The sequence below is a fragment of the Homo sapiens genome, chromosome 2 (genome assembly GCF_000001405.40).
Source record: "Homo sapiens chromosome 2, GRCh38.p14 Primary Assembly".
Lineage (NCBI taxonomy): Eukaryota > Metazoa > Chordata > Mammalia > Primates > Hominidae > Homo > Homo sapiens.
In genome coordinates, this window is record NC_000002.12 from 25,399,586 (window position 1) to 25,416,792 (window position 17,207).

The 17,207-nt window shown below is 44.7% G+C and overlaps 1 protein-coding gene across 30 annotated transcripts in view, besides 3 other annotated features; it reads right to left on the bottom strand.

Moving 5' to 3' along the window:
* The window catches only part of DTNB (dystrobrevin beta), a 296,335-nt gene that overhangs the window by 22,343 nt on the left and 256,785 nt on the right, over window positions 1-17,207 (bottom strand). The window contains exon 16 of one of the 30 annotated variants that reach the window (NM_001351389.2): window positions 13,842-15,407. The exons of the other annotated variants lie outside the window; for them this stretch is intronic. Within the exon in view, the coding sequence (NP_001338318.1) occupies window positions 15,402-15,407 (6 nt within the window). The 3' untranslated portion in view covers window positions 13,842-15,401. Of the gene's footprint in view, window positions 1-13,841; window positions 15,408-17,207 lie in introns of those variants that run through there. 30 annotated transcript variants of the gene reach the window in all.
* Window positions 1,976-2,025: an enhancer, noted in NCBI's record as "active region_15453". NCBI's record gives its function as "activates an Ori minimal core promoter by ATAC-STARR-seq in GM12878 lymphoblastoid cells {active_cell/tissue: GM12878}" and the evidence as "EXISTENCE:reporter gene assay evidence [ECO:0000049][PMID:35858748]".
* Window positions 4,195-4,364: an enhancer, noted in NCBI's record as "active region_15454". NCBI's record gives its function as "activates an Ori minimal core promoter by ATAC-STARR-seq in GM12878 lymphoblastoid cells {active_cell/tissue: GM12878}" and the evidence as "EXISTENCE:reporter gene assay evidence [ECO:0000049][PMID:35858748]".
* Window positions 10,825-10,944: an enhancer, noted in NCBI's record as "active region_15455". NCBI's record gives its function as "activates an Ori minimal core promoter by ATAC-STARR-seq in GM12878 lymphoblastoid cells {active_cell/tissue: GM12878}" and the evidence as "EXISTENCE:reporter gene assay evidence [ECO:0000049][PMID:35858748]".

Here is a 17,207-nt window from a genome sequence, read left to right on the forward strand (position 1 = left end):
TGCCCACCTCAGCCTCCCAAAGTGCTGTGATTACAGGAGTGCTGGGCCCAGCCAACCAGTGAATCTTTATGTGAGATACTTTAACTAGATAAGCAAATGTGGTCACCAGACCTCTGAGATGGCCCCAAGGGACCCTCCCCTGCATTCATATCCGGGTGGAGTCTCCTCCCCTTCAATGTGGGCTAGGCCTAGTGACTCGCTGCTAATGAATCAGACAAGTGGGATATCACTTGTCTGGGATAAAAACTGTATTTTTCAGATATAAAATTCTGTGACCTATGATCTTCGCTAAGTTAACCTCGTCTCAGACATGGCAAGAACCAACACTTTGCTTCAGTTCTGACCATTCTGTCAGTGAGGAATGCTCTTCTGGGGTCCCAGCAGCATCTCGGTCACGTCATGGCATATTCTGCTTCTAACTTTCCTTTCTCACAAGTGGAGTCCGTACCACAGCTGCTGGCCACGTAGGCCTTGTACAGATGATGCTGATGAGGAGGTGTAGGGAGCAGGATACTCTGTATAAGATGGAACTATCTCAGGAAAGAGTCTGAAATAAGGTCCTTCTAACTAAATAAGTACAAACTGGAGTGTGTGGCGCACATGCAGTCTGAGAAACCTTCTGTGCACAGCAACATTCCTGACATGCTGACAATCACCTCTGAATCTGGCTGGAGTTTGTTCCTTCTGTTTACTTGATAGGCACAGGCCAGACAGAACACACTAAAAATCAAGATGGAGCACCGCACTGTGCAAATGCACCTCGTCTCAAAAGCACAGATGGGCTTTATGTTCAGAGAGGCAGGCCCTTCTCCATGGAGACTGCTGAACACTCCGCTCAACGCGAACCAGTCTAGAATACGCGGCACAGTGGGAGACTTGGGGAGGGGGAGGCATCACAGTTGGCACCCTGAGATTACAGGAAACCTGAGAAACACCTAGAAATCTGCAAAGGTAGAGCAACTAGTCAGGTGGCTCCAAGGATGGGGATATGTTGTCCAATGATAGGCACAAAAGACTCTTGTGCCTCTGGGTTTCAGCTGCCAGGAGAGGGCAATTCGCCTGGAGAAGCAAGGGAAGCTCTGCAATGTGCTACTCAGTGTTTTAAGGTTTCCTGATATAAGGAGTGGAATCTTGTTGTAGTACAAGCTGTAACAAAGGCTTGAGTCCAGCACAGGCCAATCATGGGTCTAACCAATAACTAAACACAATAAATGCCCTGTGACTCAGGTTCTCTCAATACAGAGGTCCCTTGTATAACAGTTGGAAACAATTCTGTTGCAAATGTAGAGCCAGTGAAACATTACAATCTGATAAGCTCTCTAGACTGCTGGCTCTTCATTTTCAAATCAGCAAAGACCCTGAGAACCCGAGAAAGCTCTGCATCATGTTCCAAGAAAAGTGTTCAGAAATTACAAAATCAGAGGGTTCATGACCCCAGCAAACTAGCTTGTTTTAGTCCAACATTCATTTTTCATTTGAGGAGGCTGAGGTCAAGAGAGGTCACAAGGTCACACACAAAATCAGTAGACAGGCTAGGACTGGTCCCTGGGTCTGCTAATTGCCTCAAACTGCTGGCGGAAAACTAAGCATATTGGGATCACAGCACAATGTTTCTGAGACTAAAAGGAACATGGATCAGTCAAGACTTCTGATGACTGACACTAACCGTGATTTTCCAGGGGACAGTCAATTTCATTCCCAGTAAGGAAATGTGAGAAAGGAGAATACAGGGATTATGAAAATCTCTTATGTATAAAAACAATCTCTTGTTGGAGCCAAAACAGGTATAGAAAATGCCAGAGAAGGTGCCCTGAGGACACGGGGATCCTTCACCAGCTCTGCATCTGAGCACAGAGGCAGGGACGCACATGCTGTGGCAGAGAGAACTGGCCAGGAGACCAGCTGCACGGAGAGAAAGGCAGTGTCTTTAGTAGGAAAATGATACTGCACTGTTCTTGGCCATGCTTGGGTGGCCCCAGCATGATGCCTGGCACTTAGTAGGGGCTCCAAAAATAGGACTTCCCTTCTTTCTTTTTCCTCATGGAATAGGGAAGAATTTTTAATCCTCCTGGCACACATTATAGTCAGGTAAACAAGGCCAGAGAGACTTGTGGCAAAAGGCCTGACTTTAAGAGTTAATGCCCTCTGCAGAGCATTCATAACTGCATCCCCCTCCACACGCACACGCAACTACAACTTGGAGCTAAGCTGTTATCATGGTAACAGAATGGAAGACACTTTAGTCTCCATTTCTATCTCCCTGACTCATGGACACCTGCCAGGTAGCAGATGGCCTGTGTGGACAATTACCTTCATTTTGCTGCCGTGTATTTAAATTAAACAAAGTGGTCTCTTTGCTGCCGATTTTCAGAGGCCCTCTCAGAGAAACAAAAAACAATGATGGGAGAGAGTTGCTGCAAGTCTGAAATTTAGGCAACCGTGAATGTATAGAGAACTGGGATATGTAGAGAACAGCCTTTGTCCATTTTTCTCTTCAAGAAAAAGTTAAAAACCCCACATAACTATTTTGAGCTGGTGCTGGTGGTGACCATGCTAGGAAGATGCAGCTGTCTCATCAAAGTGGACGTGAAACGAGGGAGAGGTGATGGGGCTATCTGATGCTGCACTGTCTGTCCTGCTGTGAGAGTTGGAAATAACCGCCTCACACGACAAGAGTTAAGACTATTGGGAGTTAGGACTGGCAATGGAAGTGCTCAGAGAATGGAGAATGAGGGTGAAGGAGAGAGGCAACCCAATGGCCGTGAGCAAGGAAGCAGGCAATGAATGTGCCTGGACACCTTCCCTGCTTAGCAGAGGCGCCCACCTGCAAGCTTAAGTGCTGCGGAGTCTTTTATTTATTCTTATTTTCTATTTTTTTCAACACCCTTGGTCAGCATGAAAGTGGAGTCTTTTAAAGATGAACTTGGCTTCTAGACACTGGAGAGAGGGGCTAAAGAGTTTTATGAAGTCTCTCACCACCGCTAACACACATTTACCTATTATGTGTCTGTTGGAAGGATGAGGCCACCAGAAAGTCTGCCATGGGGTCTCTCTGCAGAGGGGTGACACCTGTTTGTTTCCATATCATGTCAGAAACCTCAGGGCTCATGCATAACCTGTCACTCACTGTGATGGCTGGTGAGGCAAGCTGCGGTAAGACAGGAAGCAGCTATTCTAGGACTGCTGGATGATTTGTGATCACGGTGTTGCCAATGGCAGAAAGTTAGGGTTCTCAATCTTCATGATTCTGTCCCTATTCAAGTTACACTAAATTATATAGAAGACAAAGCTTATGCTAAGAATTAAAGAGTGAGGGCAAGGTGTACAATTATCTTTCTTAGTAGAAGGAAGAAGGTGTATTAAATTTCTGGGACAAAGAACAACCTATTAAAACTCAAGATAAATCTGTAGATAAAAAGAAAATTGGAAAGTAAACTTTTAGATAGAGAAACTCATAAATTCCAAGACTAGAATTACCTCCTTTCTGTTTGTTTCTCCCAGTTTGCCTAGCCCTATTTGAAAATGGTATCCCAGTAGTCTTTTTTTTTGAGACAGAGTCTTGCTCTGTCACCCAGGCTGGAGCGCAGTGGCGCAATCTCGGCTCACTGCAACCTCCGCCTCCTGGGTTCAAGCGATTCTTGTGCCTCAGCCTCCAGAATAGCTGGGATTACGGGCGCCCGCCACCACACCCCGCTAATTTTTGTATTTTTAGTAGAGATGGGGTTCCGCCATGTTGGCCAGGGTGGTCTCGAACTCCTGACCTCAAGTGATCCACCTGCCTCGGCCTCCTAAAGTGCTGGGATTACAGGCATGAGCCACTGTGCCTGGCCCGTATCCCACTAGTCTTCACTGCAAGATTTCAAAGCCAGTTCTCTGCAAAATGATGAGAGACCTCACCAACCAAGAGAAAAATACCTATACAATGAATGCTGAACACTCAGATAGCATACTAGAAACAGAAACTAGGCTAGGTTCTCAGGAGGATGTGGTCCTTATTCAGACAGCTAAATCTATTAGCAGGAAGCCAGCTGGGACCTATCAGTGGGGTTTTAAAATTCTATGAGTCTAATTTAAATGTTACTTATGGGTAAGCCAAATTTGTGTGGTGAGGTATGGCACCCTTATTCAACAATGACACTCTGCACTTTGTTAAGTCCCTGTTATATGTAACATAGTGGTTAGAGTCCAGGCTTTGCAGTTGGATAAACCTAGTTTGTTTGTTTGTTTTTTGAGATAGGGTCTTGCTATGTTGCCAGGGTTGGTCTTAAACTCCTGGCCTCAAGCAATCCTCCCACATCAGCCTCCCTTGTAGCTGGGAGTACAGGCGTGTGCCACTGTGCCCAGCCTAGAGGAACCTAGTTTGGATTCCAGCTGCCATTTACTAGCTGTGTGATCTTGGGCAACTTACCTAACCTCTCTGCACCTAAGGTTCTTCATATGTACAGTGGGGATAACAATATCTACCTCACAGGTTGGTGAGGATGATCATGAAACACCCCCCACACTTGGCTCCATAGAGTGACACCTGTTGTTCTTCTACTTTGAAAGGTGTTAGGGGTAGGGGGCTATGCAGCTGAGGCAATATCTCCACTCTCAGCAGGCCTATCCCGAGGGAGTCAGGTACGTATGCAACCAGCACACCAAACGGGATGTAACAGGTGCCACAGCAGAGAAACAGAGGAAAAGCAGCCTGGCCTGACGTTATGGAACAGGGTTAAGTTTGGTAGAAGAGGTGGCAGCTGAGAGTATCTCGACGGGTACAACTGCAATGGGCAGAAGAGGCTTGGGAAGGGCAAACCAGGCGGGGGAAAGTGCATGACTGAGGCACTGGGCTGGAGAGGAGGCTGTACTGGGGGTGAGACGGGGCGGTGAAGCTGGAGTGTGGGGAGCAGGGAAGACCTGTAGCAGGAAAGGAGAAGTGTCGGCGGTGAGCAGCCAGAGATGTAAATGAGCAGCTGCAGAGTTTATTTAATAGGCCACAGATAAGGGCTGGGCACGGTGGGTCACACCTGTAATCCTAACACTTTGGGAGGCTGAGGTGGGTGGATCACCTGCAGTCAGGAGTTCAAGACCAGCCTGGCCAACATGGTGAAACCCCATCTCTACTAAAAATACAAAAATTAGCCAGGCGTGGTGGCACGCGACTGTAATCCCAGCTACTCGGGAGGCTGAGGCAGGAGAATCGCTTGAACCTGGGAGACAGAGGTTGCAGTGAGCCGAGATCGTGCCATTGCACTCCAGCCTGGGTGACAAGAGTGAAACTCTGTCTCAAAAACTAAAAAATAATAGGCCACAGATAGGAAAACTACACAACCCGTGGAAAATCCAACTCGCCACCATTATTATTTTTTTTGTTTCTTATTTTTTGAGACAAGAGTTTTGCTCTGTCTGGAGTGCACTCAGGCTGGAGTGCAGTGGCAAGATCATGGCTCACCACAGCCTTGACCTCCTGGGCTCAAGTAATCCTCCCACCTCAGCCTCCTGGGTAGCTGACACCATGCCTGGCTAATTACTGTATTTTTTGTAGAGATGAAATTTTGCCATGTTGCCCAGGCTGATTTCAAATGCCTGGGCTCAAGTGATCCATCTGCCTCGGCTTCTCAAAGTGCTGGGATTATAGGCGTGAGCTACCATGCCTGGCCCGACTAACCACCATTAAAAATAAAATGTTCTGGCGGGGTGTGGTGGCTCACGCCTGTAATTCTGGCACTTTGGGAGGCTGAGGCGGGCAGATCACTTGAGGTCAGGAGTTCAAGACCAGCCTGACCAACATGGTGAAACCCCGTCTCTACTAAAAATACAAAAATTAGCTGGTTGTGGCTGCGGGCACCTGTAATCCCAGCTACTCGGGGGGCTGAGGCAGGAGAATCACTTGAACTGGGAAACGGAGGTTGTAGAGAGCCAAGATTGTGCCACTGCACTCCACCCTGGGTGACAGAACAAGACTCCATCTCTAAATAAATAAATAAATAAAATGTTCTATTTTTTTTCCACCACCAGTTTTGCTTTTTGTTTTGTTGTTGTTTTTTTTTTCAACAGACCATGAGCCAAGAATGATTTTTACATTTTTTAATGGTTACATTTTAAATGGTTATATAGTACCTACATAATATCTGGTTTGGCCTGGAAAGCCTGAAATATTTACTGTCTAATCTTTTAAGAAAATGCCTGCTGACTCCTGCTACAGGCAAAGGCAAGAGGAGCCGGTGAAGGTTTCTAAGGAGGGGAGGGATGTGGCCAGTCTGGTCTGTGCTCAGGAATCAAGCTCTGGGCAATGGCACAGAGGGACTGAGAAACGAGAGACAGGAGACAGGGGTTCTATCAATAAAGTGGCTTTTCCAAAACCCGGTGACAGATAATGGAGGCTGGAATGGGGTATAGGAATAGAAAGAGGGAGAGCAACTTTTGGGAGAAAAAATGGACTTGAAGTTGGCAACTGAGAGGGAAGAGCAGGAGGCTGGCGATGGCTGGCAGGGATATGGTGGGTGCTGATAACGGCATCAGCAGAAGCAGGAAATACGTGCAGAGGAGGGATCTGTGGGGCCCACCCTTCCGATAGCCAAACCTCAGAATAAGGGGTTCTGAGAATGCCGTGGAGGCGCATATTTGTATCACAGGGAAAGGTTCTCTGGACTCAGAGCAGGGCTTCCAATTAACAAGGGGGCAATTTTACCTGCTAGGGCCCTGAGAGTAGAGGCTACTACTGGTGCTTAGTGGGTAAAGTTAAGGATGCTGCTAAACATCCTTAACAGCCTGACCAACATGGAGAAACCCTGTCTCTACTAAAAATACAAAAAAAATTAGCCAGGTGTGGTGGTGCATGCCTGTAATTCCAGCTGCTTGGGAGGCTGAGGCAGGAGAATCGCTTGAACCTGGGAGGCGGAGGTTGCGGTGAGCCGAGATCGTGCCATTGCACTCCAGCCTGGGAAACAAGAGTGAAACTCCGTCTCAAAAAAAAAAAAAAAAATTCGAGACCAGCTTGGCCAACATTGGCCAACATAGTGAAATCCCATCTCTACCAAAAAAACACATATGTTTTTCTATAACACATACAACAACTACTTGCAAAAAGAGAGTTAACTGGCCCCGAATGTCACTAATGCTGAGAATGAGAAGGATGGCTGAGGGTGACTTAGTCATGAGGTCCTACAGAGGATGGTCTGCCCAGGGCTATTTTCCTGGGTGGTGAGCTGCTGTGGAAAGAAGGGTAGGCAGCCAGCATCCTCAGGTTAGTTAGACCTTCAAAGGGCCCAAGAATAGACTGCCGTATCTTCTGCACACTTGGGATGTCCTGGGGTGGCTACAGATCTGAGAGTCTCCTAGAATCTCTCTTGATTTTCTGAGGTCTGAGCAGGTTAAAAATTGGAGTTGAAATTTCCAATGTGAAAGCAATTAACAGAAAATTATATATACATTTAAATTAATAATACATAATAATAAAAGTACTGAAGGGTTTATGGTTAGCCATCTGTGCAGAGCTGGTGAGCTGGCATGGATCCTTATTATAATAAAAGTGCCACTTTAGCAAATGACATGACATTTCTCAAAAGAAGATATACAAATGGCCAACAAACATATGAAAAAATGCTCAACATCACTAACCATCAGGGAAATGCAAATCAAAACCACAATGAGATACCACCTTACCCCTGCAAGAATCGTCATTATTGAAATATCCAAAAACAATATACTTTGGCATGGATGTGGTGAAAAGGGAATGCTTATACACTGCTGGTGGGAAAGTAAATTAGTACAACCACTATGGAAAATAGGATGGAGATTCTTTGAAGAACCAAAAGTAGACCTACCATTTGATCCAGCAATCCCACTACCGGGTATCTACCCAAAGGAAAAGAAGTCATTATATGAAAAAGACACACGCACACATATGTTTACTGCAGCCCAGTTCACAACTGCAAAGATACAGAACCAACCTAAGTGCCCATCAACCAATGAGTGAATAAAGAAAACGTGGTAGTATATATACACCATGGAATACTACTCAGCTATAAAAAGGAATGGAATATCTTTTGCAGCAACCTGAATGGACCTGGAGGCTACTTTTCTAAGTGGGGTAGCTCAAGAATAGAAAACCAAATGCTGTGTGTTCTCACTTATAAGTGGGAGCTAAGCTATGAGTATGTAAAAACACACAGAGTGATATAATGGACTATGGAGCCTCAGAAGGGAGAGGTTGGGAGGGGCGTGAAGGATAAAAAACTACATATTGGGTGCAATGTACACTAGTTGGGTGACGGGTGCACCAAAATGTCAGAATTCACCACTAAATCACTCATCCATGTAACCAAAAACCACTTGTACCCCAAAAGCTGTTGTAATAAAAAAAATATTTAACAAAGTACCACTTGACTGGGCACGGTAGCAACACTTTGGGAGGCTGAGGCAGGCTGATCACTTGAAGTCAAGAGTTTGAGACTGGGCAGGTGCTGTGGCTCATACCTGTAATCCCAGCACTTTGGGAGGCTGAGGTGGGTGGATCACCTGAGGTCAGGAGTTCGAGACTAGCCTGACCAACGTAGAGAAACCCCGTCTCTACTGAAAATACAAAAAAAATTAGCCGGGTGTAGTGGTGCATGCCTGTAATTCCAGTTACTTGGGAGGCTGAGGCAGGAGAATTACTTGAACCTGGGAGGTGGAGGCTGCGGTGAGCCGAGATCGTGCCATTGCACTCCAGCCTGGGCAACAAGAGCGAGACTCTGTCTCCAAAAAAAAAAAGAGTTCGAGACCAGCTTGGCCAACATAATGAAATCCCATCTCTACCTCCCCCAAAAAACCAACAAAAATTAGTTGGGTGTGGTGACGTGCACCTGTAGTCCCAGCTACTCAGGAGGCTGAGGCAGGAGAATCGCTGGAACCCAGGAGGTGGAGGTTGCAGTGAGCCAAGATCACACCACTGCACTCCAGCCTGGACACCAGAGTGAGACTCCATCTCAAAAAAAAAAAAAAAAAAAAAAAAAGCACCACTTTAGCTGCAGTTAACTTCATTGCCTATAATTTTATAAAATAGCCTTCTACTTTTCTTTTTTTAAACATCAGGGCATCTATATTGCAGCTCCAAATGCATACTGCCAAAGTATGATTAGGAGTAAATGGAGAAGAGTGTAAGAGTCTATGGAACTTGTTATAACATGCATCTTTTAGCTGAAACTAAGCAGATGTTCTTTTCCATGAAGGACGCTCCAAACCTTAGCACTATCGTTACTATGGAACATCAGAACCAACCTGAGGGTCAGCTATAAAACCTGTTACCCTAGAGACTGGTACAGCTTCATGATTTGACGAAATGCCTCCAGATGCTCTCAGAGTGAAGTTATGGAAACAATCCCATGCTGAAAGAAGATGCTGAGGTGAGGCACAACAGAGAGGAAGAATGCCAGGGAAACCTGTCCTGCTGGAGACATGGCCAAGAATCACGCAGGTGAGCCACAGGAGAAGGGCATCAGGGATGCAGCTGATGTTTTCTTAGGATATTTTCTTCTGTCTGGAAAAGTGGCAGGTGGGAGGCTGGCATGAATAAACCCTGGGGAAGAAGTTATTGAAAGAAAACCCAGACAATGAAGTAAGGGCCACAGGATTTCAAAGTCAGGAAAGGAGAAATCAGTGAAATAAACCCAACTGGATTTCATTCATTCATTCATTCATTCATTCACTCATTCATTCCTCTATAGGCCAGGACCCAAATAGATCTCTATAGACCCTTCTAGGTTTATAGCCTTTCTCCAGAGTACCAACTGGTACAATGATGAAAGGATCCAAAAACTGTGGAGCTGGAAGTTTACTGATGAGGAAAATGAGGTTTGTAAAGGTTACGTGCTTGTTTAGATGAAAAAGAAATGGGATTTAGCTGGCAAGACTCGATTAGTGAGAAGGGCAGTCCATTCATGTGTAATTCACAGATTTAAGATTTACATCTTTGTTCAGTGGAGTGACATTATTTGACAGGAGGTGGTGCTGAGGAGGTTGGACAGGACAAAGCCCACTTTTCAGAGTTGGGTACACTTTACTACTCTATTGAACATTTTCTTTCCTAAGTTGCTGATAACTTCCTTATTGTCAAATTCATGGGCTTCCTTGTCTTATTGTCTCACTAACTTCCTCCTTCTTGCAACTATCTGGGCTTCCAAGAGAACCGACGGTCCTTCTCCTGCCTCCTTTTTCTTCTTTTTGTCTACTGTGGGTTTTCCCTAAGGCTCACGTTTATGGTTTCAATCCTCATTTTGTGTTGAAGGGTTCCAAGTCTACATTGCTAGCCCTGTTTTCCCATTGAAATTTCAGTTGCGCATGTCCAAATACCTAGCAGGTCTTTTTGCTTGACTGCCTGGCTATGGGACATAATAGCATGTCCAAAATCAGATCAAAGTCCCCTCCTAACCCAGATCATGTCTCTATTTTCACTTGTTCAGTAAATGACACCCATCATTTCCCTAGATTCTTAGGCTCCAAGCCTACAAATCATTTTTTCTTCATCCTTTTCTGTTAATGCTTTGCTGAGATTCAGTCTGTAGTATTCTGGGGGAGGCAGTGTGTCCTAGGAATTCAATATTCTTCCAGTGGAAGAATTTCTCCAGTTGGCTGAGGAGATAATGTTTTTGGAGGCCCTGAAGGATGGTTTTCATATGCTGTGTGCATTCTGGTCAGGAGAGGAAAAGACAGAAATATAGTACAGGAGGGAAATTTAGGAAGTAGGTAAGGAAATCTCTCAGCCTGACATTGATGAGTGATGAAAAATATTGGGGGGTGTGGCACACACCCCAAAGCTACTTTTCTCTTGTATCCTCGGACTCTTGTTAGGTGCTCAGGGAGTTTTGGGGGAGTGAAATACAAACACCCATCCCCCATCCCCACCACGCAAGACAGGACCATCTGGAAATGAACCTTCTGGGTATGCAAGAGTAAGTTCCTGAACATAAAAGAAACCAAAACCATTTTTGTTCATCTATGATGCTTTCCCAGAAGGATCTTGATGAAAAGAGGGGAAATGAGAACAAAAATAACTCGGGGAAGTCTGAATTATATGAGGTATTCAAACTTTATCAGGTCCCCAGAGACACAGGTATGGGGCTTCAGTCACGCCACCCTGCCATGACGAGGCGGGGGGGCAATGGTTTAAAGGCATTTTGTTACTGACTAGCTGCTTCACTCATTAGCTTCATGTTCCTGGAATGTGCGATAAAAAGAACAATGTATAGATAATCAATAGCTTATGTTATTATTTTTTTAAAACGTATCTGGCCTGTGACACAACCCTCAGGAGATCCTGAGAACACATGCCCTGCTTATGTTACTTTAATGTAAGTTCTTGGTAAACAACTTAGGAACTGCCTTTTCTTTTTTTTTTTTTTTTTTAAACCCACTGTAACTGCTGCTAATCAGAATGTATATTCAGGGCAATTTGAATCTTTGCTCCTGGGGGGCCATCCTCAAGCTTTGGGCTCAAATAGACTTATACTTAACCATAAAGAAAAACCATAGCTGGGCGCGGTGGCTCATGGCTGTAACCCCAGCACTTTGGGAGGTCGAGGCAGGCAGATCACCTGAGGTCAGGAGTTTGAGACCAGCCTGGCCAACATGGCAAAACCCCATCTCTACTAAAAATACAAAGATTAGCTGGGCGTGGTGGCGTGCGCCTGTAATCCCAGCTACTTGGTAGGCTGAGGCAGGAGAGTCACTTGAACCCGGGATGCAGAGGTTGCAGTGAGCTGAGATCATGCCATTGTACTCCAGACTAGGCAAGAAGAGTGAAACTCCGTTTCAAAAAAAAAAAAGAAAAGAAAAACCAAACCTATTTTTAGTATTATAGTGATATTTCCTCTTTTTGGAAAAAAAATAACAACAAACTGCCAGGTCCCTACGGTGAGTACAGGTGCCAAGACCGATGAATACACCCTGCCAACTCTTGCAAGGCCATGTGTGGGAGGGAGCCAGCAGTAGCAGACAGTCTATGCACATATCCTGGGACTGCGACCCAGGATAAAGGTTTGTGGGAGAGTCCTACGTATAGCACAGCGATCCTCATTTACCAACAGACATCTGTACCATTTGCCAACTTAGGAGGGCCGCAGTGGTGCCTGAGGCCCGGGATACCACTGGCCCGGCTTGTGTTTCTGCATTTAGGGTATCATGTCAACCATGAAATAACTTTCAGACTATTTGATGGTGGTATTTGTGTACGATTTCTCTTTTTATCCTCCAAAAGGCCAGGCTCACTGTCTTGAACATATATAGTAAAACACCGCTAAATAAATAAATGAATGGCAATCCTTTGCCTTTTGGGAAGTAGACTCAGGCTTCTATTTCGGAAGATTAAGAGCCACGGAGCCCAGAAGATTGCAGAAGCATGTGAATCTGAATCGCTTCCCAGTGAGACTGTATCCAAAGGCTAAGAAGGGAACGTGACCCATGAGGCATGCTAACATCAAGGGGTTCACCAACAATCTCTTTAATGGCCAAAGAGGAGGTTTCTTTTTCTTGTTGCATAGGTTTGTTTTTCTGAAAGTACTTTCTCTTAAACTTACAAAGTTAGTATTCATGAGGTTTATGTGAGCCCTTGTGGGTCGACCATTGCTAACTAAACATTAAGTGCCCTTCCTTTGAGGTATATTTGGTAGAGCTGTGATCAGAAAGGGGGGCTTCCTGGAGCCAGGCCAAACCATGCTCTCTTTGGTATAGCTGTAGGTGGGTATTTGTCTGGGTCTTGGAAATCAGATAGGGCATGATGGCAAGATCCCACGTGATAGCCAAACTCACTGAAGTAAAAGGAAAGGTCCCAAGTGTGGCAAAGTTCTCTTGGCCAATTCCCCAAGATTCCACTAATCACATTATTTTCAGAGTGCCAGGTATATTATCCTTTGGCCCACTGCCCCACTACCTAAGCTGGGCCAAGGCCACCCTGAAGGAGCTTCCTATCCTTACATAACTTTTACTGTCTAAAGTTACAGTCTTTAAGCCTGATGATCATTATATAAAATGTTCTATTAAACATATATAAAGTCTTTTTAAGTCTTTAAGCCAGATGATCATTATTAGATAATTAACTTCTAATAGGAGAGATCAGATAAATGTTGGAGGAAACAAATCCTTCATGAATAAACAGAACCCCTTTCCTTGGATAGCTCAGTGAATGTGGTATTAGAGATCCAGCAGTGAAATTTTATGGTGCACTGAGTCACTGGGAAAAATGGAACCCTAAAATGTTCCTAGATGAACTTGTACATCTGAACTGTTTCCAGACTAGGATTGGGATATTGTTTGATTGAGGCCAGAGAGGCCCATAGCTCAAATGCACCAATGGTCATAAACACCATTGCCAGTAGGGACTTCATCAGTCTCTGGTGACCCTAGTGTCCCTCTGTAACATGCTGATGAATCCTACAACCGTATTTCTGACTGTAAGCACTGGGCTTTTACTGAGCAATATTTAAAATATTTTCAAACGATGCAAATAACTATAGATATCCTGCATTTTATAGATTATTATCTTTAAAAGACAAGGTGATTTTTATGCCATGTATCAGTATATTTTCTTTAGCTAGAAATAACAACATTAATAATTAATAATAATACTAATCAGCTTGGTGTTTGTATTTTTTTGGTAACAAATTTTTTTCAGATTCCTTTTTAAAAAAATTATTTTCATTATTTGCTTTCTTGGGAAATCAGACACCTTTTTTTTTTAATACTTTAAGTTCTAGGGTACATGTGCACAACGTGCAGGTTTGTTACATATGTATACATCTGCCATGTTGGTGTGCTGCACCCACTAACTCGTCATTTACATTAGGTGTATCTCCTAATGCTATCCCTCCCCCCTCCCCCCACCCCACGACAGGCCCCGGTGTGTGATGTTCCCCTTCCTGTGTCCAAGTGTTCTCACTGTTCAATTCCCACCTATGAGTGAGAACATGCGGTGTTTGGTTTTTTGTTCTTGCGATAGTTTGCTGAGAATGACGGTTTCCAGCTTCATCCATGTCCCTACAAAGGACACAAACCCATCCTTTTTTATGGCTGCATAGTATTCCATCGTGTATATGTGCCACATTTTCTTAATCCAGTCTATCATTGTTGGTTCCAAGTCTTTGGACATTTGGGTTGGTTCCAAGTCTTTGCTATTGTGAATATTGCCACAACACACATACGTGTGCATGTGTCTTTATAGCAGCATGATTTATAATCCTTTGGGTATATACCCAGTAATGGGATGGCTGGGTCAAATGGTATTTCTAGTTATAGATCCTTGAGGAATTGCCACACCGTCTTCCACAATGGTTGAACTAGTTTACAGTCCCACCAACAGTGTAAAAGTGTTCCTATTTCTCCACATCCTCTCCAGCACCTGTTGTTTCCTGACTTTTTAATGATCGCCATTCTAACTGGTGTGAGATGGTATCTCATTGTGGTTTTGATTTGCATTTCTCTGATGGCCAGTGATGACGAGCATTTTTTCATGTATCTGTTGGCTGCATAAATGTCTTCTTTAGAGAAGTGTCTGTTCAGATCCTTTGCCCACTTTTTGATGGGGTTATTTTTTTTCCTGTAAATTTGTTTGAGTTCTTTGTAGATTCTGGATATTAGCCCTTTGTCAGATGAGTAGATTGCAAAAATTTTCTCCCATTCTGTAGGTTGCCTGTTCACTCTGATGGTAGTTTTTTTTTGTTTGTTTGTTTTTGGAGACAGAGTCTCGCTCTGTCGGCTGAAGTGCGGAGTGCAGTGGTGCGATCTCGGCTCACTGTGAGCTCCGCCTCCTGGGTTCACGCCATTCTCCTGCCTCAGCCTCCTGAGTAGCTGGGACTACAGGTGCACAACCACGCCCGGCTAATTTTTTGTATTTTTAGTAGAGACAGGGTTTCACCGTGTTAGCCAGGATGGTCTCGATCTCCTGACCTCGTGATTCACCTGCCTTGGCCTCCCAAAGTGCTGGGATTACAGGCATGAGCCACCATGCCTGGCCCAGATTCTTTTTGATAAAGGATATTTCTGAGTGGATCTCCTGAATGGATCTATCTGGGAGTGCCTTGAGCAAAATCACTGCTATAGGTACGTCAACTAGTTATGTCCCTTATAATTAATACAATTATTAATTCATACAGAGTATAAGTCAAAATCTTATAAAATTGGTTAATATTGGTTATCATTCAGCAAATATTTATTGAGTATCTACTGTATGGCAGGCTGGGCTACAGGCGGGGGATGTAATAGTGAAAAAGGCAGAAATGGTCCTTTAATTGCCGTCTGATGATGATTATAGGCCTAAGTGACCCGCGCTCAACTGATGCGACCTAATTCCTGAGCCTGTTAAACTGCAGGGTAAATCATGGGCTGAACAGTCACTCAGTGAAGTCTTATCTGAAATAGCCAGGCAGTTTGCCCCTCCATTATAACCCTTAGATCTGAGAAAAACAGAAGGGAAAGAGGGGGGAAGAGAGAGAGGAAAGACAGAAGAATCAGTGGAGGTACTGATGCCACGCAAAGCACCACAAAAGTGGCTGAGGCTGAAGGCAGAATCACAGCACCCAAGCTTTTAAAGTAACAGTTATTGCCCATTTCTCTCAAGTTTCCCAAATGCCAAAGTAACCCTGTGATACTATGATATAACCAATATATATTTGGTCTCCATTCCAGGTTCCTGGCATAAGAGCTTCTTTTTTTTTTTTTTTTTTTTGAGACAGAGTCTCGCTCCGTTGCTCAGGCTGGAGTGCAGTGGCGTGATCTTGGCTCACTGCAACATCCACCTCCCAGGTTCAAGCGATTCTCCTGCCTCAGCCTCCCGAGTAGCTGGGACTACGGGTGCATGCTACCATGCCTGGCTAATTTTTGTATTTTTAATAGAGATGGGGTTTCACTATGTTGGCCAGGCTGGACCAGAGTTTCTAAAACCCGTGGAATCTCCAGAGTGATATGCGTGTCTTTTGCATGCTAATGAGATGACCGGGCTTCGGGAATCTTGGATAGCTTCAGGATGGGGACTGGTTGCCAGAAAGACCACGGCATTATTAGAGGGTTGAAAGTTTCAGCCCCTTCCACCAGGCCTTGGGGAGGGGAGAGGGGCTAAAGATTGAGTTAATCACCAATGGCCAATGAATGAATCAATCATGCATACATAATGGAACCCCCATAAAGACCCTAACTGAGGGGTTCAGAGAGCTTCCGGTTGGTGAGCATGTCTATATGCCAGGAGGTGGTATATACCCCAACTCCATGGGGACTGAAGCTCCTGGACCCTTCTGGAACTTGCCCTATGTACATCGTCACCTTGGATGGTCACCTGTGCCCTTATAATAACCTTTAAAATCACTAGTAATAGTGAGTAAAGTGCTTCTCAGAGTTTCATGAACCATTACAGCAAATTATTGAGCCTGAGGAAGGGGTTGTGGGAGCCCTGATTTGTAGCCAAGTTGGACAGAAGTGTGGGTAATCTGAAGAACCACTACTTGTGATTGGTGTCTGAAGTGTGAGGCACTCCTGTGGGACAGAGCCCTTAACCTGTGGGCTCTGCCCTAACTCCAGGTAGTGTCAGAATTGAATTAAATCGTAGGACACCCAGCTGGTGTCTGCAGAGAACTGAATTTTTTGGTGTAAGAAACCTACACATTTGGTGTCAGAGTGTTATCTGGGTAGAAAGAGATCCTGGTAGTAGTAAGCAGTAAATCCCTAAGGGGAATGAAGCAAGAAGGTGGACACTATCAAAAGTTCTCTATAATGGATTTACAGAGCCAGTTTTGGGAAGCACATCTAATAAACTCTTCATTTTAAAAGTGTTTTACAATTCTTTTCTTTTTAAAATTTTGGCCGGGCGTGATGGCTCACGCCTGTAATCCCAACACTTTGGGAGGCCAATGCGGGCGGATCAACTGAGGTCAGGAGTCCGAGACCAGTGTGGACAACATGGCAAAACCCCATCTCTACTAAAAATACAAAAATTAGCCCAGTGTGGGCGCCTGTAATACTAGCTACTCGGGAGGCTAAGGCAAGAGAATCACCTGAACCCAGGAGGCGGAGGTTGCAGTGAGCCAAGGTCGCACCACTGTACTCCAGCCTGGGTGACAGAGCAAGACTCTGTCTCAGAAAAAAGAAAAAAATTTTCCCTACCTGCAAGCTAACAAGTTATACAATTATTTTCTTACCCATTTAGGGTAAGACATTTTGATAGGAAAGAAATTAAACTACACCAGCCAGAACCTGGAAGGAAG